This window comes from Homo sapiens, chromosome 3 (genome assembly GCF_000001405.40).
Source record: "Homo sapiens chromosome 3, GRCh38.p14 Primary Assembly".
In the NCBI taxonomy this organism is placed as follows: domain Eukaryota; kingdom Metazoa; phylum Chordata; class Mammalia; order Primates; family Hominidae; genus Homo; species Homo sapiens.
The window spans coordinates 72,477,564-72,498,991 of record NC_000003.12 but is presented as its reverse complement, the minus strand read 5'-3'; the positions used below and the strand labels follow the sequence as shown (position 1 = coordinate 72,498,991).

General features: G+C 46.2%; 5 annotated features.

The window, feature by feature from the left end:
- Nucleotides 6,161-6,665: an enhancer, noted in NCBI's record as "H3K27ac-H3K4me1 hESC enhancer chr3:72541478-72541982 (GRCh37/hg19 assembly coordinates)". NCBI's record gives its function as "activates a minimal SCP1, AML or CMV promoter by ChIP-STARR-seq in naive H9 embryonic stem cells {active_cell/tissue: H9 hESC(naive)}" and the evidence as "EXISTENCE:reporter gene assay evidence [ECO:0000049][PMID:30033119]".
- Nucleotides 8,179-8,883: an enhancer, noted in NCBI's record as "NANOG-H3K4me1 hESC enhancer chr3:72539260-72539964 (GRCh37/hg19 assembly coordinates)". NCBI's record gives its function as "activates a minimal SCP1, AML or CMV promoter by ChIP-STARR-seq in naive H9 embryonic stem cells {active_cell/tissue: H9 hESC(naive)}" and the evidence as "EXISTENCE:reporter gene assay evidence [ECO:0000049][PMID:30033119]".
- Nucleotides 10,781-11,298: an enhancer, noted in NCBI's record as "H3K27ac-H3K4me1 hESC enhancer chr3:72536845-72537362 (GRCh37/hg19 assembly coordinates)". NCBI's record gives its function as "activates a minimal SCP1, AML or CMV promoter by ChIP-STARR-seq in naive H9 embryonic stem cells {active_cell/tissue: H9 hESC(naive)}" and the evidence as "EXISTENCE:reporter gene assay evidence [ECO:0000049][PMID:30033119]".
- Nucleotides 11,299-11,816: an enhancer, noted in NCBI's record as "H3K27ac-H3K4me1 hESC enhancer chr3:72536327-72536844 (GRCh37/hg19 assembly coordinates)". NCBI's record gives its function as "activates a minimal SCP1, AML or CMV promoter by ChIP-STARR-seq in primed H9 embryonic stem cells {active_cell/tissue: H9 hESC(primed)}" and the evidence as "EXISTENCE:reporter gene assay evidence [ECO:0000049][PMID:30033119]".
- Nucleotides 15,983-16,483: an enhancer, noted in NCBI's record as "H3K27ac-H3K4me1 hESC enhancer chr3:72531660-72532160 (GRCh37/hg19 assembly coordinates)". NCBI's record gives its function as "activates a minimal SCP1, AML or CMV promoter by ChIP-STARR-seq in primed H9 embryonic stem cells {active_cell/tissue: H9 hESC(primed)}" and the evidence as "EXISTENCE:reporter gene assay evidence [ECO:0000049][PMID:30033119]".

Here is a 21,428-nt window from a genome sequence, read left to right as displayed (position 1 = left end):
TATATGCACATTAAAATTTGAGAAGCATTTATTATGTTATAATTTATTTCCAGGAAGAAGTAATCTCTTCTCTTCGTCTTTTATGTCAGTTAACTCCTCTCTTCTTGTTTGGTAGAGTACTTTTTTCTTTTAACCCTATTTATCTTTTGTCTGCATATCTTATCTCTCCTATCATGCTTGGGTCCTTAAAGGCAAAATCCAATGTCTGAAGAACAGCATTCTCTTCTGTAAAATGGGGATAATGCTATTTACCTTTTGCTGTGATTTGAATGTTTTTGCTCCCTCAGAATGTATATGTTGGAAGCTTAATTCCCAATGCAACAGTCTTGGGAAGTGGGGCCTAATGGGAGATGCTTGGATCATGAGGGTTCTGCCTTCATGAATGGAATAATGCTGCTAATTAATTTCCTTTATGAATTGTAAAAAGCTTGTGGGAATGGATTCTCTCTATTTCAGTCTTCTGCCATGTGAGGATACAGTGTTCCTCCCTTCTGGAGGATGCAGTTTTCAAGGTGCCTTCTTGAAAGTGAAGACCAGGCCGGGCGCAGTGGCTCACGCCTGTAATCCCAGCACTTTGGGAGGCCAAGGCGGGTGGATCATGAAGTCAGGAGATCGAGACCATCCTGGCTAACAAGGTGAAACCCCGTCTCTACTAAAAATACAAAAAAAATAGCCAGGCGTGGTGGCAGGCACCTGCAGTCCCAGCTACTCAGGAGGCTGAGGCAGGAGAATGGCGTGAACCCGGGAGGTGGAGCTTACAGTGAGCTGAGATCGCGCCACGGCACTCCAGCCTGGGCAACAGAGCGAGACTCCATCTCAAGAAAAAAAAAAAAGAAAGAAAGAAAGTGAAGACCAGGCCCTCAGTACCTTGACCTTGGACTTCCCAGCCTCCAGAACTATAAGAAATAAATTTCCGTTTTTTATGAGTTACCCAGTTGCAGGTGGGTAACTCATAAATATCTTAGCACAAGAGATATCTTAGCGCAGAGATATCTTAGCACAAAACAAGCTAAGATGTCTCTAGAGATTTCATAAGAATTGGGTGGAATAACACACATGGGTGCATAGCACAGCGCTTATCATATTGTAGATACAGATGATGATTAGCTAGTCCTAATTCCCAAAACTGATGGACGTTTATTGAGTGTTTACTCTGCATCAGGTACTACGCAAAGCCCTTTTTTATGCTTTCTCATGGAATCCTTTCAACCGTATTATAAAGAAAATAAGTATTCTCCCTCATTTAGAAATCAGGAAATTGAGTAATGTCACATAGTTAGTAAGTGACAGAGTCAAGATTTGAGTCCAGAACTGTTGACTCTACTTCCTGGCTCTGAGACGGAGTTTCACTCTTGTTGCCCAAGCTGGAGTGCAATGGCGCCATCTCAGCTCACTGTAACCTCCACCTCCTGGGTTCAAGCAATTCTCCTGCCTCAGCCTCCCGTGTAGCTGGGATCACAGGTGTGCACCACCATGCCCGGCTAATTTTTGTATTTTTAGTAGAGATGGGGTTTCTCCATGTTGGCCAGGCTGGTCTCAAACTACTGACCTCAGGTGATCCACCCACCTTGGCCTCCCAAAGTGCTGGATAACAGGCATTAGCCACTGCACCCGGCCTTACAGCCTGGTTCTTAATAGCTCTGCTGGAACACATGGCACAGTGAAGTCCCTCAACCAATATTTGTTAAATTTGTATAAGGAATAAAAGCTTTTGGCTCCTTGAACCAAGGATCATAAGCTCCAAGCCAACTCCAGTCAGGCAGATGACTGAGGGTCAAAGGCGAAGCCAAGGAAACAATCTCCTCCCTCCTTAATGTAAATTGGTCAAGTAAGTGTGATGATAAATGGCAGGTGACCTTCACCTCAGTGTCAAGAAGGAAAAAGGACAGATGGAGACCTTGGGAGTTGGAGAGCACATGGCCCATCTGAAGGGGCAGAGGTCCCAAACTCCAGCCAGGATACACGGACTTGTCCACCCTGGTGGTTCCTGCCTGACATCTGTTCTGATTGGACAATGCCAGGCCATACGCAGTGTTAAAGATTTGGAGTCAGACCTCTGGGAAGGTTGAACCAGTGTTATCAGATCTGATTTTTCTAATAAAACCAGAGATCTAGACTTTTATGTGAAACCCTTGATTTTTAAACACTGGCAAATAATTTATATATTTTTAAAAGAGATGCGAGCCAGGCATGGAGGTGGGGAGGAGGCAGTAACTAGATTATAACTGCTGTCCTAAACTGTGGAAGGAAATCTTGACTGTTTTTTGCTTTTTGCTTGTTTGCTAAGTGAATACAGAAACAAAGAGGAAGGAAAAAGGAAGAAGGAAAGGAAGGAAGGAAAGAATGAAGGGAGGAAGGGAGGGAGGAAGGAAGGAGGCTACTGACCATTTGAGTCTTAAGTAGTAGCTAAGGTGGCAGACAGATAGCTTTCAACTGGGGAGGGAAGAGAAGAGAGAGGAGAGGCCCTTGGTGACTAACTGTCCCAAGGGCCAGGGCCTCCAATGGGAAGTCCCTTTAACCTCCCAATTCCTCCAAGGGCCAACCCAGCTAATCAACTTTTTATGATACTTTATTTTTTTAAATCACCTTGGAGGCCCTTTCTGTCTTTGTTCAGCTGTAATCTTTCTTAATTAGATAATTGAAATAATCATCCAATTAAGTTGGTTCCCATTGCCCCCCCGCTCACTTGAGTACTTGCAGAATCCAGCTGGCTTCTCATTTCCGCTGACTTCGTTCTGTGCCTCATGCAGGGTCTGAAACAGGTTTCAAGCTGTTTTCTTTCCTCTTTTTCAGTTTGCCGTTGCAGTTCATAGGAGCTACAACTAAATTTCAGTTCTGGCTAATGTCAAAATAGACTCCATAGGCAACTAAAAGCCAAAAGTTGTAACTGGCACTAACACAGTGGTAGTTGAGAGTTTCAGATCCACAGGATTTCAATCCCAGTTCTGTTGCTTACTAACTGGGGTGATCTTGAATGCACCACACTGACTTGGAGCTGCAGTTTCCTCATCTGTGAAATGGGGATTAAAAAGAAGACCTACCCTAGGTGTGTTGGGAGATAAATATGTTAACAGAGATAAAATATGTGAGGCCATCAGCCCCAGGCCTGGCATATAGAGAGCACTCACTCTCTGAGCTTTGTAAATGTGGAAAGGATGTATTTCTAAGAGCTCAAATAGTTGATATCATTTATTTGTTATACACATGGGGAAAGAGAGGTAAATTATACAGATATCTAAGATGTAAACGGTTCTAGACCTTTTGGCCATTTGTTGCATTTATTTGGTGTTTATCTCTTTATCTAGTATCTCTATCCAGTCTTCCTTCTAGTTAGTTCACTCTAGTGCCGCCTGAAAGTCTTAGAGATAGCGGGCTCACCTTGGGGTGGATTCTCTGTAGATGAAATTTCAGTATTCCTTTCTTTGCCCACCAGAATGGAAGGTCCCTGTGGGCAGGGCTGTATCTGCCATGTGTCTCACAGTATCCGTTGGAATTTAACAAGGAATAATTGTTAAATAAAATGTCATACATGGAGGAACTGCTCTCTAAAAGGACATCCGAGGCAGTTTTAAGTGATAACACTACAATACTTAAGACAAGGATACAACACATTGTTAACACATTAGCTAAGGGTGGAGAAAAATCCAGAAAAGGGCTACTATTCCCAGGATCACAGAGTAAAACAAAGATCGGTTGTGACTCCAAAACCCAAGTGTCCCAGATCTTACCTGAACCTGCTTAAAATGCTGATCTCACCAGGAGCCAGGCAGCCAGGAACCGCAGTGGATGCTGTCGGCCCAACCTTAGCTGCATTTCATTCCTCAGCAGGACCACAGACTCCCAGAAACTCAGCCTCATCTTCATTTGTTTCAGAAGAGTCAGGTATTAGAGGAGAATGACAGCAACTCGGTGCAGGGTGTATTTTTCCTTAATGCTTTTTCATCCTGTAAAACTTACATAAGCCATACATCATTTTTTAAAATGAGAAAAATGCCTTCAAGTCGAAAGTGAAAATGAATTTAAAATGATTGTTTTTTAATGGTATTTTTTTTCTGGAGTAGACTTTTTAAAAGTGGTAATCTTAATCTCCCAGATAAGGCAACAATGTGCTTCCTATACAGTCCATTTCTCATGCTGGCAGAAACAAAATGTTTCCTCACACTTTGCTCTAGAGTTCAGCAATGGAAAGAACTTGTAAATGCTCATTTTGCCAAATGTGCCAGTGGGTCACTGTTCTCCAAGACTGGATGACTGGACTTAGGCTAGAGAGGACTGGCTGGGGCTGAGGATGGAGGGAAGTCACTAAACATTCCAGACGAACTGCTCAATCACTTGTTCTCTGAGCACATGCTCCCTATATCTGCCTCTGTGCCTTAGCGACACCCAGTGTGGGAGCCAGCCTCCGTGATGGTCCCCAACAAGCCCCACCTCTTTCTATTCACAGTTTGTATAGGGCTGACTTATGTAATAAATGGAATGTTATAGAAACAATGGAGTGTGCCTTCCAAAGCTAAGTCATGAAAGTCATTGCAGCTTCCACCCTGCTCTCCCTTGAATCCCTTGCTCTGGGGGAGGCCAGCTGCCATGTTGTGAGGAAGCTCAAGCAGCCTGCAGAGAGGTCCATGTGGTGAGAGGCTCTGCCACCAGCCACCCCAGTGAGCCAGCATGAAAGCAGATCTAGCCCCAGACAAGCCTTAGCTCAGCACAGCTCCGGCCAACAGCGTGACCACAATCTCGTGAGCAACCCTGAGCCAGAGCCATCCAGCCAAGCCACTTTCAAATTCGCTATCTGTAGAAACTGTGGGGGGTCATATTTATTTTTGTTTTAAGCTCCTAAGTTTTGCAGTAATTTGTTATGCAGCAATTGGAAATTAATACATACACTCTCCTGTCTACAAAAGCTTACTCTTTTCTTCTCCAAATCATTCTCCCTCAAAATTCACATCAAATTCATCCTTAAGCTTGGATTCTCCAGCCCAGAGGGATCACTCTTCTTTCTAAGCTTCATCACCGTGCTTATACTTTTTTTTTTTTTTTTTTTTTTTTTGAGATGGAGTATCTCTCTGTCACCCAGGTTGGAGTGCAGTGGTGCGATCTTGGCTCACTGCAACCTCAGCCTCCCTGGTTCAAACAATTCTCCCACCTCAGCCTCCCAGGTAGCTGAGATTACAGGTGCCTGGCTAATTTGTGTATTTTTGGTAGAGATAGGGTTTGACCATGTTGGCCAGGCTGATCTCGAACTCCTGACCTCAAATGATCTGCCCACCTTGGCATCCCAAAGTGCTGGGATTACAGGTGTGTGCCACCACGCCCAGCCATTGCCCTTCTTCCTTGGTGTTAACCTGAGCTAGAAGGAAGGGCTGTGCAGGCAGACCTAACATCTGATGTATCATTATTAATAGGTGACCATATTATCCGTACTGAGGCATTTCTGAAAGCTGGTGGGGGGGGTTGCTATTAATAATAATCCTGAAAATCAGCAAAATCTAGGACAGTTCCAGGACAAACAACAGCATTCAGCCACCCATTCTATCTGTAAGAGGTACCTACACCTCCCAAAAAATGTAAGAAGAGGGAGAAAATTGTTTAGCAGGGATGTGGCTTTATTTGCCCAATGCTTATATATGCAAAGAAAATGTAGCTTCTGGCTGGGCACAGTGGCTCATGCCTGTAATCCCAGCACTTTGGGAGGCCGAGGCGGGTGGATCATTTGAGGTCAGGAGTTCAAGACCAGGCTGGCCAACATGGTGAGACCCTGTCTCTACTAAAAATACAAAAATTAGCCAGACATGGTGGCGCACACCTGTAATCCCAGCTACTTGGGAGGCTGAGGTGGAGAATCACTTGAACCTGGGAGATGGAGCTTGCAGTGAGCTGAGATCTTGCCACTGCACTCCAGCCTGGGAGGCAGAATGAGACTCCATCTCGAAAAAAAAAAAAAGAAAAAACGAAAGAAAATGTAGCTTATTTTCTAATTATTTTTATTATTATTTTTAGACAGAGCCTCACTCTGTCACCCAGGCTGGAGTGCAGTGGCCCAACTACAGCTCACTGCAGCCTCGACCTCCTGGACTCAAGCGATCCTCCTGCCTCAGCCTTCCAAGTAGTCAGTGCACACCACCACACCTGGCTAATCTTATCCAATCTCTGAGATCACTCAGTCATTAGGTGACTGAGGAGGGGGAGAAGTGCAGTCAGAGCTCTGAATCCCACCTCCCAATTCTCATCTCCTCCCAACCCCCCCCCCCATCCTTTCATGATGGTACTTAGGAATGTGCGAATTTGGGGTAAAACTGGGAAGTGGAAGGGGAAACAGAATCCGCCCAGGCTGTGAGGAATGGCTGTTCTGAGAGACTCCCTGGACTGGCTGGGGACTATCATTCCACCCAGATTTTTGTAGTGATGTCCTGGAATGAGTGTCATGTCTAAGTGCTGTGAGAGTTACGCCCTCCATGAGGGTGTCCACAGAAGAGCTGAAATCTAGCCAGTGCTTTGCTAGCCAAGCCACAAGCCCATGGGGCTGTGTGAGTCAGAAGAGCAAGCCTTTTTCTAATTTGCACAAAGGCATCCCATGGGCTGGGGCAGGCCCTGGCCAGCAACCAGATTCCAGGTCATTTGCTTCTGGCCTTGCATTCCCTGCCTGTGTCAGCCTGTTCATCCTGATCACAGGCCAGCGTTCTTTTGGCATCTCCCTGGACCCAGCCCAGGCCCCTGGGAAATTTGGTGTCCCCCACAGTCCATGCACAGGCCATGGAGGGCCAAGCCATCTTTCTCAGATTCCTCTATCCACATTCTTGCCACCACCTGTGTGCCATTGCTTTGGGCCTGGGGATACATGGTGCTTAACCAGAGGTGAGGTCCCCCATGGCTGGCAGACTTCCTCACGCAGTGCCCTGTGATGTGATCCACTTACCTTGATGTTCTCAAATTTTCCCCGTCACTTCTTGGATGATTCTAAATCTCCCCACTCCCTAAAGACATCTGACCTTATGAGTGGCCCTTGAGATTTTCCTTCTTTCCACCATCCTCCCAGGGCAGCATGAGCATGTTTGGGGCATTTCTGCAAATGGCAAAACTCAAGGATCTAGGTCAGTTCTTTGACACCTTTTTCTTTTCTTTTTTCTTTTTTTCTTTTTTGAGATAGAGTCTCGCTCTGTTGCCCAAGCTGGAGTGCAGTGACGGGATCTCGGCTCACTGCAACCTCCACCTCCTGAGTTCAAGCAATTCTCCTGCCTCAGCCTCCCGAGTAGCCGGGATTACAGGCATGTGCCACCATGCTCAGATAATTTTTGCATGTTTAGTAGAGATAGGGTTTTGCCATGTTTGCCAGACTGGCCTCAAACTCCTGACCTCAAGTGATCCACTCGCCTCGGCCTCCCAAAGTGCTGGGATTACAGGCATGAGCCACTGTGCCTGGCCAACACCTTTTTCATGGAGTGGCACACATATAAAATAATAAGGGCATGATGTGCTGCATGGCCAAGAGGGGATCTGGAACCTCAGTGGAGGCTATACCAGAAGACTAATGAGATCCCCACCTGTCCAGATCGTGCCAGGCTGCTCCAAGGGCAGAGGTTATCAAATCTCTCAGGGGGTGGTGAGACACTCTGATTGGGAAGATCTCCTTAGAGCTGTCAGCTTGACTTTGCTAGAAGGGATCTGAGGAGTTGAGAAATACCTTTTCTCCTCCATAAAGCCTTGCTTTCAAGGCCCTTGTCCCTCCGCAGAGGTCAAGAATGTCAGCCTGGAGACGCTAATGCTGATCAATGGCCTCTTTATTCTCTGCTTGTTCTCCTTCCCTTAGGCAATAAGCCTGCTGGCTCAGCCCTAGAGCTGGGACATGGCAAAGAGGTACGGTTTAAAGTGGGAAGCAAAATTACTGTAGGCATAAGGTTGGTGAAATGGGATCCCCATACAATTGTAATGATGAGAACTCCTCTGGAAGTGGAGGTAAGTATGGTTTTGGGGTTGGGGGGTGAGACCCCAAGGGAGCAGCACGCTTGAGTGCCAATAAATTGTGGCTTAACTGCCTTCTAGAAACACAGGTTCCTGTCACTTCCAAGGGCGTTTGTTTTGCTGAGTAGTTTATGCAAATGTGGAGCCCTCTGGGTGGCGAGCTGGGTGATGAAGTCAAGAGGGAACTGGCAGTCCTTCTCAAGCCACCCCAGAGGGCTCCCTGGTGCCTCTTCCCAGTCAGTCCTGGTCACCAGATTAATTTTGCCTGTTTTTTCTTTTTTTTGTTTTTTGAGACAGAGTCTCACTTTGTTGTCCAGCTTGGAGTGCAGTGGTGCCATCTCAGCTCACTGCAACCTCCGCCTCCCGGTTCAAGCGATTCTCCTCCCTCAGCCTCCTGAGTCGCTGGGACTACAGGCACACGCCACCGTGCCCGGCCAAGTTTTGTGTTTTTTAGTAGAGACAGGGTTTCGCCTTGTTGAGCAGGCTGGTCTCGAACTCCTGACCTCAAATAATCTGCCCACCTTGGCCTCCCAAAGTGCTGGGATTACAGGCGTGATCCACCGTGCCTGGCTGTTGTGTGTTTTTTGTTTGTTTGTTTGTTTGTTTTTAGAAAACATTATTGCTAAAATAAGTATTGTTTATTTCCGATAAAAGTAATGCATGTTCATTTAGTAAAAGGAACATCCAAAAGTGCAAAGCTTTTAACAAATCATCATCAATACATTCAGTTTTGTACTTGGCTTTTTTACTGAAAATATCGTGAGCATTTTTTCATCCTAGTCCATATGGAAGGAGGCTTATCCTCTTTTTAATTCCTTTTGGCCCCGTTCCTTGTATAGGCTGTCAGCTAATATTTGCAATGATTCTGAGGTTTTACCCAGGAGAGACCTGGAGACAGCTGGTCACCTACCCCATCCGCCACAACCTCCCAGACAGATGCGGGCTGTCTAATATGAGAAAGCGCTGGGTCGAGAGGGCAGGGGCCTCCCTCCTTCACACACTGAACTATCACAAATGGACCTAACAGAGTGGAAGGACAGGTTGCAAATTGAGAAGAGAATGAGGAGTGCGGCAGTGAAATTGGAAAACAGAGTGATAGTCAAGAGGAGGCAAGCAATGAGTTTAGAAAGCAGTGTCGCTACAGCCACTACAAGCGTCTAGGACAGCTCCCCACTGCGCATGAGCTGTTGCAATGTGTCAGTTCAGTAGGATCCACAGATTAATGTTATACAAAAACAGAAAATTACAGAACAGAGATAGAACGAATGGCTTCTCTTTTCCTCCTACTCTTAGTTCATTCCAAATATTGGCAAACTTGGCCAGGTGTGGTGGTTCATGCCTGTAATCCCAGCACTTTGGGAAGCCAAGGTGGGTGGGTCACTTGTGGTCAGGAGTTTGAGACCAGCCTGGCCAATATAGTGAAACCCTGTCTCTACTAAAAATACAAAAATTAGTTGGGTGTGGGTGGTGCACGCCTGTAATCCCAGCTACTTGGGAGGCAGAGGCAGAGAATCAACCCAGGAGGTGGAGGATGCGGTGAGCTGAGATCAGGCCACTGCACTCCAGCCTGGGTGACAGGGAGACTCTGTCTCGAAAAAATAAAAAATTAAAAATATATATATTGGCAAACTTTTCTCAATCTTTTGCCAACACTCATTTTTGCTGATTATATTTGCTTATAAACCTAAGTATCTTGAAGTACCTCTCTGTACTTCTGTGTCTTCATCTGGAAAATGGGGTGAATAATAATCCCTATCTCTGAGAGCAGGACTTCTCAACCTGGACACTATTGCAGTAGGGCCTGGATAATTCTTTGGTGTGGGGCCGTCCCAAGAACCATAGGTTGTTTAAGCAGCATCCCCGGCCTCTACGCACTTAATGCCAATAGCATCCCCCCTAGTTGTACCACACAAAAATGTCTCCAGACATTGCCAAATATCCCCTGCGTAAGGGGCAAAATAACCCCTAATTGAAAATCTCTGGTCTAGCACAGTGGCTCATGCCTATAATCCCAGTGACTTGGGAGGCCGAGGTGGGAGGATCACTTGAGGCCAGACTGGGCAACATAGGGAGATCTTGTCTCTACATGAAAATTAAAAATTAGCCAGGCACGGGGGCTCACATCTGTAGTCCTAGCTACTTGGGAGGCTGAGGCAAGAGAATCACTTGAGTCCAAGAATTTGAGGTTACAGTGAGTCACGACCACGCCACTGGACTCCAGCCTGGGTGACAGAGCGAGCAACCCTGTCTCTTAAAAAAAAAAGAAAGGAAAATCACTGGTCTAGAGTTCTAGAGTTCCTGTAAGTATCACATGAGATGATTCAGGTAAGGTGCTTAGAAGAGTACCTGACACCAAATAAATGCTCAGTAAACTTACGCCATCAGCATAGATGAAGAGGCCCTAGAATAGTAGGGACCATGGCCTGAGCTACTTCACAAACCGATTTGTTTGTTTATCATTATGGTTTTGTGCCTCTTAGGTTCTACCTTCCTAAAGTGCCATGGTTTAAAAAGCTCTTTTATGAGAGGTGCCTTTCTTTGTAGGTACAGAAATAAAGCTTCGAAGTACTGGCATTTGCAAGTGGCTTTTGAAACTGGAGAATGTCAAAGAAATGTAAATCATACTCTTTCAAGAGCACAAGAATGTATCTTTCTCTAAAAGCTTTCACAACTGTTAACTCAGTGGCTACTGAGACAAAGTGTTCTAGTAGGGGTGATGGGAAGGCACCTAAACTGAACTCTGAGTTTTGCTGTTTGTGGAAGGACCAAGCTGGTGAAACCACAGCATCGGTTCGCACAGGCATTTTGTTTGTTTCTGGCTGATGAAGAGAGGAGACTATTCTGTGAACAGCAAGGACTGAGAAAGATGGAAAATGAGGAAGAGGGTGAGATGGTGTTGTCCCTTCAAGCACGGATTTGAATGATGCGGGTGGGGTTGGTTAGGGCCACCTTGCAGGAAAATGTTGGGTAGGACCAGAGGAGTTGGGGACAGCATCCTCATGTCAAGCCCCTCTGCCACAGACGCTGTCAGCTCCAGGAACCTAGGAGCTGGGTGCGTGTGGTTGCAGGTCACCCTCATGCCAGACCCCACTGCCACCAGCAGCCACAAAACACCAAAGTGTGTGATAGGGACCTCTTCCCTCATCTTTTTCAGGTTCCTCAGGGTCCATGGCCCAAGTAGGTACAACCTGTCACTGCCTTTAGCTCAGTTTCCCCCGACTCTGCCAAAAGTTCTACCTGCGTTGAGGGACCAGGAGCACGAATCTTTGAATGATGCCATGTGGTCACTGAGATGAGGCCAGTCAGCAGCTCCTCCTTTTGTTATGGCTACTGCTGTGAGGCTGGTGGCCACAGCCATGGCCACAGCCCCACCCCCAGCTACAGACACAGCCACAGCTTCATAGCCCAGCAGTCCCAGCTACAGTCACGCCCACACAGCCACTCCCGTGACTGTGGCCACCACCGCCCCCCACCCCCCTCCACGGACATTCCTCCTCACAGCTGCCTTCAGCCAAGTGTCTGCCACCAAGTTCCTGAGAAATGACTCACAGGAGCTTGCTAACTTTGGGGGAAATCTCGTGCTTGATTTGTTTGTATGTTGCAAAGACCAATATGATGACGGACCAACAGATTAATACCTGGATTCCAGACCGTTCGGAACTCTACATTCAACGTTTTTCATTTTACTGGCTCCCAAGCCCCCTCTGGGTGAGTCCCTGGGCCTGGTTCCTTCTTTGCTCTCTTGGAGGAGGAGACAGACCAACCCTGAGTACCCTGGCACTGTTGTCTAGCATTGCATTTCAGAGAGGACTCAAAGGACCACAGGACTTCCAAACTGATCTGTGCAGCCCAATGAAACTTAATTTACCATTCCGTCCCTCTGTCCCCAGGATCCTCCCCTAGAGCAAGCGGTTCTAGAGTCAGTTTAGCCCTGAGAACCATGCCATGCTGCCTTGGAAGACCTCAATATCCATTTGGACCGGCTGACCAGCTTTTCCCTCCAGAACCTGAGCTCGCTGAGGTCACAGACTGTGTCTGCTTTACCCTTGTTTACAAGACAATTATGAGCCTGCAAATGTTCACATTTCTTCTATCACCCCACCAGAGGCAACCTTGTCATTGATAGCCCATCTCTTTCCTCTTGCTACAGAGGAAGGATTTGTTTAGGCTGGTGAGAGACTAGATTGATCTGTATAATTAAGGAATGGAAGGCCGGCACGGTGGCTCTACACTTGTAGTCCCAGCACTTTGGGAGGACTAAGCAGGCAAATCACTTGAGCCCAGGAGTTTGAGACCAGCCTGGGCAACATGGCAAAACCCTATTTCTACAAGAAAGATAAAAATTAGCTAGGTATGGTGGCGCATGCCTGTGGTCCCAGCTATTCAGGAGGCTGAGGTGGGAGGATCACCGGAGCCCAGGGAGGTCAAGGCTGCAGTGAGCCATGATTGCACCACTGCACTACAGCTGGGGCAAAGGAGTGAGACCCTGTCTCAAAGAAAAAAAAAAAAAAAAAGAAATGGAGAGAGGAAGAGAGTGTATCCATGAGTGATTCTTAAACTTCACGTGCATCAGAGCCACCTGGGATATTGTTAAAATGCAGATTCTGATTTGGTAGGTCTAGGGTGAGGTTTGAGATTCTACATTTCTAGCAAGCTCCCAACTTGCTAGATTAAGTCAATTAAACCTCTTTCCTCTATAAATTACCCAGTCTCAGGTATGTCTTTGTTAGCAGTGTAAGGAGTGGACTAATACATTATGATACTACTTCACCATGTTGAAGCTGAACCCATGGGCACGCTGGCTTTATACAGATTACATTTGGAGATTATAAATGCTGCTGGTTCTCTGAATACATTTTGCACAGCCGGGGTATAAAAGAGTGGATGTTGGGTGAGGTTTGCGTATAACTGTAGGGAGAAATCCTGTGGAGCAGCTTCAGCGTGTGAGAGAAATGGATAGAAGAGAAAGGGGGATTTTTTTTATAAGTGTTGTCACAGCCTCAGTGGTTGGCTGTCATCATTCTCAAGAAATGCAAAGACCTTCGTTGTTTGTCATCTGCCCAGCTGCTGGTCCATCTTCCAAATTGTCTAGTGGAATGGTTAGCCAGGCCAGCCCTTCCTCCCCAGTGCATGACTGCCAGCAAGGCCAATGGGGACTCCCTCCCTGAAATCTCAATCATGGATTCAGGCCCAAAGCAGAGAACACTTGGAGTGTTCTCATTCCAGCCACAGCAGCTCAGTGAGATTGTTGAGCATTTTCTGCTGCCAAGAACCTCCTGGAGAGGCTGGGTGCCTAATGGCTCCAAGCCTGACTTTTTAGCCATTCCTTTGCTCTAGTGTGCTCTCTAATATCCTTCCAAGAAATTCCCGTTCTGCCTAGATCAGTAGAGGCAGTTTCTGTTGCTTACAATCAAAGCATCCTGACAGATAGAGCCAGTATAATATTTTGAGCTGTTTTGAAATAATGTTTCACCTCCAGATACACGGTGTGTGTGGTATGTATGTGTGTGTGAATTATGTGATATGGTTTGGCTGTATCTCTGTATCCCCGTGTATCAAGGATGGGGCCAGGTAGTGATAATTGAATCATGGGGGTGGTTCCCCTATACTGTTCTTGAGGTAGTTAGTAAGTATCACGAGATCTGATGGTTTTTTTTTTTTTTTTTTGAGACAGGGTTTCACTCTGTCACCCAGGCTGGAGTGCAGTGACGTGATCTTGGCTCACTGTAACCTCCTGGGTTCAAGTGATTTTCATGCCTCAGCCTCCTGAGTAGCTAGGATTATAGGCATGTGCCACCACGTCTGGCTTATTTTTTGTATCTTTGGTAGAGACAGGGTTTCACCATGTTGGCCAGGCCAGTCTTGAACTCCTGACCTCAAATGATCCACCCGTTTCAGCCTCCCAAAGTGCTGGGATTACAGGCGTGAGCCACTGCACCCAGCCTGATCTGATGGTTTTATAAAGGGAAGTTTCCCTACACAAGCCCTCTTGCTTGCCACCATGTAAGGCGTGACTTTGCTGCTCATCCACCTTCCGCCATGACTGTGAGGCCTCCCCAGCCATGTGGAACTGTGAGTCAATTAAACCTCTTTCCTTTATAAATTACCCAGTCTCAGGTATGTCTTTATGAGCATACTTTATGAGAATGACTAATACATTATGATATCACTTCAACACTTTGAAGCCGACCCCATGGGCATGCTGGTTTTATACAGATTACATTTGGAGTACATGCTGAGCACTGTGCCTGAGAGACACACGGTAGGTAGTCAATGAATGGCCACAGAAAGAATGAGCAGTCACTTTACAGCATCTGTGCTGAGCCCCAGCACCTCTCAGCTCCCCCATGCCCAGGGACACTTTAGATGTCCATCAAGCACTAAAATAGCAACACTTATAGGAAGGCATGGGCAAACTTGTAGTAGCACTGGCAAGTACGCTTATGACCTTTTCCTCCAGTTTCCTTTCTCCCTATATATTCTTTAAAGCAAAGGGTTGCAGAAGGTCAGAATGGAGCATGATCTTTGTTCCACGAGTATGTTGTGCTTTGATTAAAATATTCCCAGTTACAGGCTCGGTGAGGTGGCTCGTGCCTGTAATCCCAGCACTTTGGGAGGCTGAGGTGGGTGAATCACTTGAGGTCAGGAGTTCGAGACCAGCCTGGCCAACATGGTGCAACCCCGTTTCTACCAAAAAATACAAAAATTAGCCAGGTGTGATGGTGTGTGCCTGTAGTCCCAGCTACTCAGGAGGCTGAGGCATGAGAATCGCTTGAACTTGGGAAGTGGAGATTACAGTGAGCCGAGATTGTACCGCTGCACTCCAGCCTGGGCGACAGAGTGAGACCCTGTCTCAAAAAAAAAAAAAAAAATTCTTAGTTACATGAGAAGCAGGCCAGTGTTGCCTTCATGGCATTCCCAATTGAAGCACTTATCCCTATGAAGTGACAAACTCTATACATACTATAAAGGTTAATAGCTGGCCAGGTGTGGTGGCTCACACTTGTAGTCTCAGCACTTTCGGAGGCCAAGTTGGGGGGATTGCTTGAGCCCAGGAGTTCGAGACCAGCCTGGGCAACACAGTGAGACCCTGTCTCTATGAAAAGTAAATAAATAAATAAATAAATAAATAAATAAATAAATAAATAAAAAGTTTAAGAGCCCAGCCTGTGGAAGCAAGATGACTTTAATTAAAATTAATCCCAGCTGCTTTATGAACCAGCTGTTCTTGGGACGTCTCAGAGCCTCAGCTTCCTCACCTGTAAAATGGGCATGATAGTAATATCTTTCTCAGGGGCTGTTGTGAGGATTTTGAAAAGCAATGAACATAAATGGCTGACATTCCACCAATACACACTGAGTAAAGTGCCTAGAACATTTTCAGCCCTCAATAAATATAACCTATTAAAACACATGTTCTGCTGAAGCCAGAATCTATGATTCTTCCCTCTCACTCTTAAATAGATTTTTAAAAAAGCATTTGATCTAATTATGTTAAAGATATATATACAAGGGGAAGACAGAAAGAAAACATACTATGATCTTTCCTGTTTGTCTACGTGTGTGATGCTATATATAATTTTTATTTTCTTCTTTCAGGCCTCTTGTGTTCCAGATTCTTTTGCAGTGAGCATATATATTAGTTTTACGACCAGAAGATAAGCCTTGACAAATGCTATCTTTAAAAGAGAAGAAAATATCGAGGCAAACTGCAGCATGATTTTATAGAAACTGAGTGAAAAAAAAAAAATCCCAGCTAGATGGAGAATTAGATGTTTTCTGGTCAAGAGCTTATTGGGAGGGAAATGACATCAATTTGGGTTCGCATCAGCTTGAGTGAAAAATCATAATGCAAAATGAAAGTACACGGGGCGGGTGCGGGGAGGGGCGCTGAACCCACGCTGGGATTTTGCCGTGTGAATCATCAAGCTAGAAATGACCTCAGGAGGGCATGTGGCCCCGCCCCCACCCCTCACCTCGGGAAGGTTGCCCAGCGACTTTTCAGGACAAATGAGCAATGGTCCTATTTATAAGCCCTCTAGGAACTAAATCTACACACATTTCCTTCCTCCTAAGCTTCAGGCAGTCTTGATTTAGCTTTTGCAGGTGCCCTCAACTAGCATTCTCCAACCTACTTCTCCTTCTGCCTGGAAGAGGCCTGGGAGTTGTCCCAGATCTTTCCTACCTACCCCTGAAGGACCCTGGGTCCTTGAGCAAAACCAAATCCCCCGGAAGTCAGTTTTGTCAGCTGTAAAATAGGGATAGGAAGGATTTGAAGAATGCCTAGCTGGGAGTGAAAAGGAGGCCTTCCAGTGCCAGAGGCCGTGTCTTTAACCATGTCTATACCTCCCTGGTGGGAAAAGGCAAGACACAAACAGAGGTAGCTTGTTTACAACAAATTGACAGGAATTTGAAGTTGGGGGTGGCAAGCTTGTTAAGAAGAAGCCAAGGCCACAGAGATGGGAAGCAGGAAGGGATTGAGAGGAGAGGGTCCAGAGAAAAACAGAGGCAGCTCAGGAGAGCAATGATTAGCAAGGACATCTCTAGAGCAAGAGAAGCCCCCGGTGTAGGGACAGTCCAGAAAACTCAAGAACCAGGATGCTATATTGCTTTTTTTATTTTTATTTATTTTTTACTTTTTAAAATATTTTGAGATAGAGCCTCGCTCTGTCACCCTGGCTGGAGTGCAGCAGTGCCATCCTGGCTCACTGCAACCTCCACCTCCCAGGTTCAAGTGATCCTCCTGCCTTAGCCTCCCAAGTGCCTGGGATTATAGGTGTGCACCACCACACCCGGCTAATTTTTTGTATTTTTAGTAGAGACAGGGTTTCACCGTGTTGGCCAGGCTGGTCTCAAACTCCTAACCTAAAGTGATCCACCTGCCTCCCAAAGTGCTGGGATTACAGATGTGAGCCGCTGCACCCAGCCAAGAACCAGGATGCTGTGTTCCTGTAATTGACCAGATATGCAGGACTGCAATACCCCTTCCGTTATCCACAAACACTTTTGGGAACCAGCTTTGTGTTCATGATGCTATGAGGCATGGCAGATGTGAGGTGGTCCAGGGGTAACAGAGATGGGGAGAGAGAATGGCAGCTTCAGGAACAGAGGATGATGGCTAAGGACCAGATGACAGTGGTGACCGAGGGCGTAACCCCCACTGACCAGGAGAAGGTATGTCTTTCTGGAAATCTGTGGAGTTTTTGAAGATGTGTCAGAGTGCTGCAGTGGGGCTGAAACCATTTTCTTTGTTTGTTAAAGAGTGATTACTGAGTTCTGAAGAACCTGGGGCTCTCCAGGAGGGAGGTTTTCTGGGTGACAAGTATTAGCAGTGTAAAATGAGTATTAGTGAAGTGCATTGCTAGCAGCATTTTTTTTTTTTTTAAAGGCAGAATCTTGCTCTATCACCCAGGCTGGAGGGCAGTGGCAGGATCTCGGCTCACTACAACCTCTGCCTCCTGGGTTCAAGCGATTCTTGTGCCTCAGACTCCCAAGATTACTCAGGGTTACAGGCACACACCACCATGCCTGGCTATATTTTCAGTAGAGACAGTGTTTCACCATGTTGGCCAGGCTGGTCTCAAACTCCTGGCCTCAAGAGATCTGCCTGCCTTGACCTCCCAAAGTGCTGGGATTACAGGTGTGAACCCCATGCCCAGCCTGCTAGCAGTTTTGATGTTGGTATTGTATTAGTATTAGTATCTATCTTAGTCTGTTTGTGCTGCTATAACAAAATACCACAAATTGGGTAATTTATCAATTTATTTCTCACAGTTCTGGATTCTGATAAGTCCAACATCAAGGAACTGGCAGGTTTTGTGTCTGGTGAGGGCCCAGTCTCTGCTTCTAAGATGGTGTCTTGAATGCTGTGCCCTCCCACGCAGAAGGCAGAAGGAAAGGCAAAAAAAGAACCAAACTGCCTCCATCAGGCCCTTTTGTGATAGCATTGATCCATTCATGAAGGCAGAGCCCTCCTGATCTAAACACCTCCCCAAAGGTTCCACCTCCCAACACTATTGCATTAAGGATCAAGTTTCCAACACATGAATTTTGGGGGACACATTCAGATCACAGAAATATCCATATTCCTTCCCCTCCCTCAAGTCCTGGATGAGCTCCTACGTGTATTCTCCTAGGGCCAAATCAATGAACCACTGCCCAGACCCTGCCTCCCTGCATGTTGATGAGAGTGGCATGTGGTATTGAATTAAAAGCCCTCCAGAGGCGAGGAGATACACTTATTGCTCCCTTATCCGCATGCCAGGTCACTTCATCATGAGAGGAAATTAAATTGGCTTGGAATGAATTGCTCCTCCCAAAGCCATGCTGGTCCCTAAACCTTCCTAGATGGCTCCAAAGCTGAAGGGTTGATTATCTATTGCAGCATAACAGATTTCTGCTCAGTTAAATAGCCCAAAGTGACAATACACTCACAGTTTATTCTCTCACACAGTTTATGGTAGGCAGGAAAGAGGGAGTGGCTCATTGCATGGTTGTGGCTTGGGGTTGCAGTCAGGAGGTCACCTGGGCCTGTGGTCATCTGAAGATCTGGGCTGGAGAATCTGCTTCCAAGATGGCTCACACCTGCTGGCAGGTTGACAGGGAGGCCTCTGGTCCTTACTTGCAGGACCCCTCCATAGGGCCACTGGAGTGTCCTCATGACATGGCAGCTGGCTTCCTCTAGAATGAATAACCCAAGAGAATATAAGGCAGAGTCACAACGTATTTGTATTAGTCAGTTTTCACACTGCTATAAAGAACTGCCTGAGACTGGGTAATTTATAAAGAAAAGAGGTTTAATTGTCTCAGTTCCACATGGGTAGGGAGGCCTCAGGAAACTTACAATCATGGCAGAAGGTAAAGGGGAAGCAAGGCAAGTCTTACATGGCAGCAGGAGAAAGAGAGAGAGGGGGGAATTGCCAAATGCTTTTAAACCATCAGATCTCATGAGAATTCACTCACTATCATGAGAACAGCATGGGGGAAATCACCCCCATGATCCAATCCCTTCCCACCAGATCCCTCCCTCAACAATTACAATTCGAGATGAGATTTAGGTGGTGACACAGAGCCAAACCATATTTCTCAGCCTCAGAAGTCACGTGCTCTAATTTCTGCAACATCCTATTGGTTACATGGGTCAGCCTTCCTCACCATGGGAGGACACTATCAAGGGCATGAATACCAGGAGGTGGGAATCATTTGGGGCCATCTGACAAGGGCCACTTCCTCTATGCTATAATTCTCAGAACCATTGTTTTTTCTTCTTTGTACATGAGTATAACATTGGCCAATTTTCAGTTATGTAAATAATTATACTAATATTCCCACTTGACATTTGTGCACCAATTTCATCTCCTCAGAGTAATTACTGCCCCATGCTGCAGATGAGAAAATGAAGGCTTGAAGAAGTTAAGTGACGTCTCCGAAGTCCCAAAGTTAAAAAGGTCTGCAGGGCTGGGAACTGTGTTGTGGTTCCTAGTTTAGTGTCCTTTCCATCATACCTCACAGCTGCCATGAAGCCACAAAGACACCTTATGCCTGCTTGTCTTCCAGGGCAAATGGGAATTAAAAAGCAGCTGTAGTGTAGCAAGATAAATCTTATTTTTCTTTAAATTTTTGTATTTCACAGGTGACCCACACTCTTTATGGAAAAGCTATAAAATAGAAATAATTGGGAGTTAAAAAAAATTAAGAAAAGCCATTCCCCCATACTTCTCCCACCCAGATCTACCACTGTTAATATCTTAGTATGTTCCCCTAAGAACAAAGGACATGGTTTTAAAATACGTTACATTAACAGCATTTCCAGGGCAAACTCTGAAGGAAACCTCATCCACTCAGCTTCGCCTGTGGGGAGGAAGTATGTGAAATATGACCTTGAGCATGCAGTAGGCTGTGCATCTGTGTGCGTGTGCAGGTGTGCACACATGTGTAAACGCCTGGTGCTTCTCTGTCCAGGTGGAGAGAGGCTCTGCATATCAGCAGTTAGCCAAGTTGAAGGGGAATTTATTGCAACCTCAGTAGAGAGTGTTTCTTCAAATGAGAGGCAGGGCAGCTCTGGCTTCAGGTGGCAGAAATGGCTTGCCCTCTCGTTTGGTTTAAGTTCCTCTAGGCAGGGAAAGGTTGATTAAGTTTAATTCAATCCATTTGGTCTTCTGAGCTGCCTGCTGAGGTTGGGTCCTTGTGTGCTCCCTTTCATCATATGCCTTACACATGAAATGTCTTGTTTGTGACCAGCTCCCCTGCCCCGCCATGCCCCAACCAGAAGATCAGCCCCAGAGAGGGGGCCTCATCTGCCTTGTTCACCTGTATCTGCCTCTCAGCACCTGCCTCAGGGTCTGGCAGCTTGTATTTCTCAAAATGTGTTTGATTGAATTGAGTGCACGGTTTGGGGGATTGTCCACAAGAAAGTTGCTAGGGGCATCCACAGTTTGTATCCAGAAGGAACTAGACCCCACTCAAGAGGCAGAATCAGGGTCCCAGGCACCTTCTCTGTGTCATCTATTTGTAACTCGGGAACCCCAAGGTCAGGTTGCCACCACCTGGAGACAGAAGAGCTAGGCCACGTTACAAAAAAAAAAAAAAAAAAATTACAAGAACTGCAAGGACTATTCCAAAGTGTTGGGCATCTGTTTTGTCCTGAACTAGAGAGATGAAATGAAATTCACTCTGTTTCATCAATCTTACTCAATTTCAGCTTCTGTGGATTCTTTCCAAGTGCTGGGTCGGGAGGCAGTGAGGTAATATTAAATGTGATGAGCATCAGATTTGGAGTCAAATGCCAGGTCATCTACATTTGAGCTGCATGAGCTGGAGGAGTTTATCTCTCTGAGCCTCAGTTTCCTCATCTATAAAACAGGAATAATAACACTAAATTTGCAGCATTTTGGTGCTTGAATGAGATAAAAGTGAGAGTCGTTAGCATGATGCCTTGACACAGTGTGCCTAAGAATATGTATTTTTTTCTCTGGGAATATCTCCCTAAACCTTGAAAATCTGAAAGCAGTGCCAGCCACGTGACTCTCAAGGTTTCTGCCCATGAACGGCCTCCCATGAGATTAGGAGATGGTGGAGCATGACTCCAGGCAGTGGGGCACAGGAGCCCACTGGGAAGTCCCAGGAGCACAGCCCCAGCATCGGTCAGGCCTGGATAGGATACCTGGGCCCTGAAGGGAGAATGTGGGTAGGAGGCAGCTCCGGGCTCTGCCCATAGCAGGGTCTCCTTTCTTCTCCTGCTTGGGTGGTGGCAGGTGGTCTTTCTCTAGTAGGAATCCAGGTTTTGGGGTCTGAAGCTCACATCACAGGAAAACCAAGGTTTCAGATGATGACCCAAGGACTCGTACATTATCAAATGGGTTGAGTCTGTCCCCTGTGGGTCCCCTGCCAATCTCCTGCTAGACTCCTTCCTTCCCTTTTGGCATCTTTCTTATCAAAGTGGCTCTTGGTGCTTCAGGCTCTCTTATTGTGGC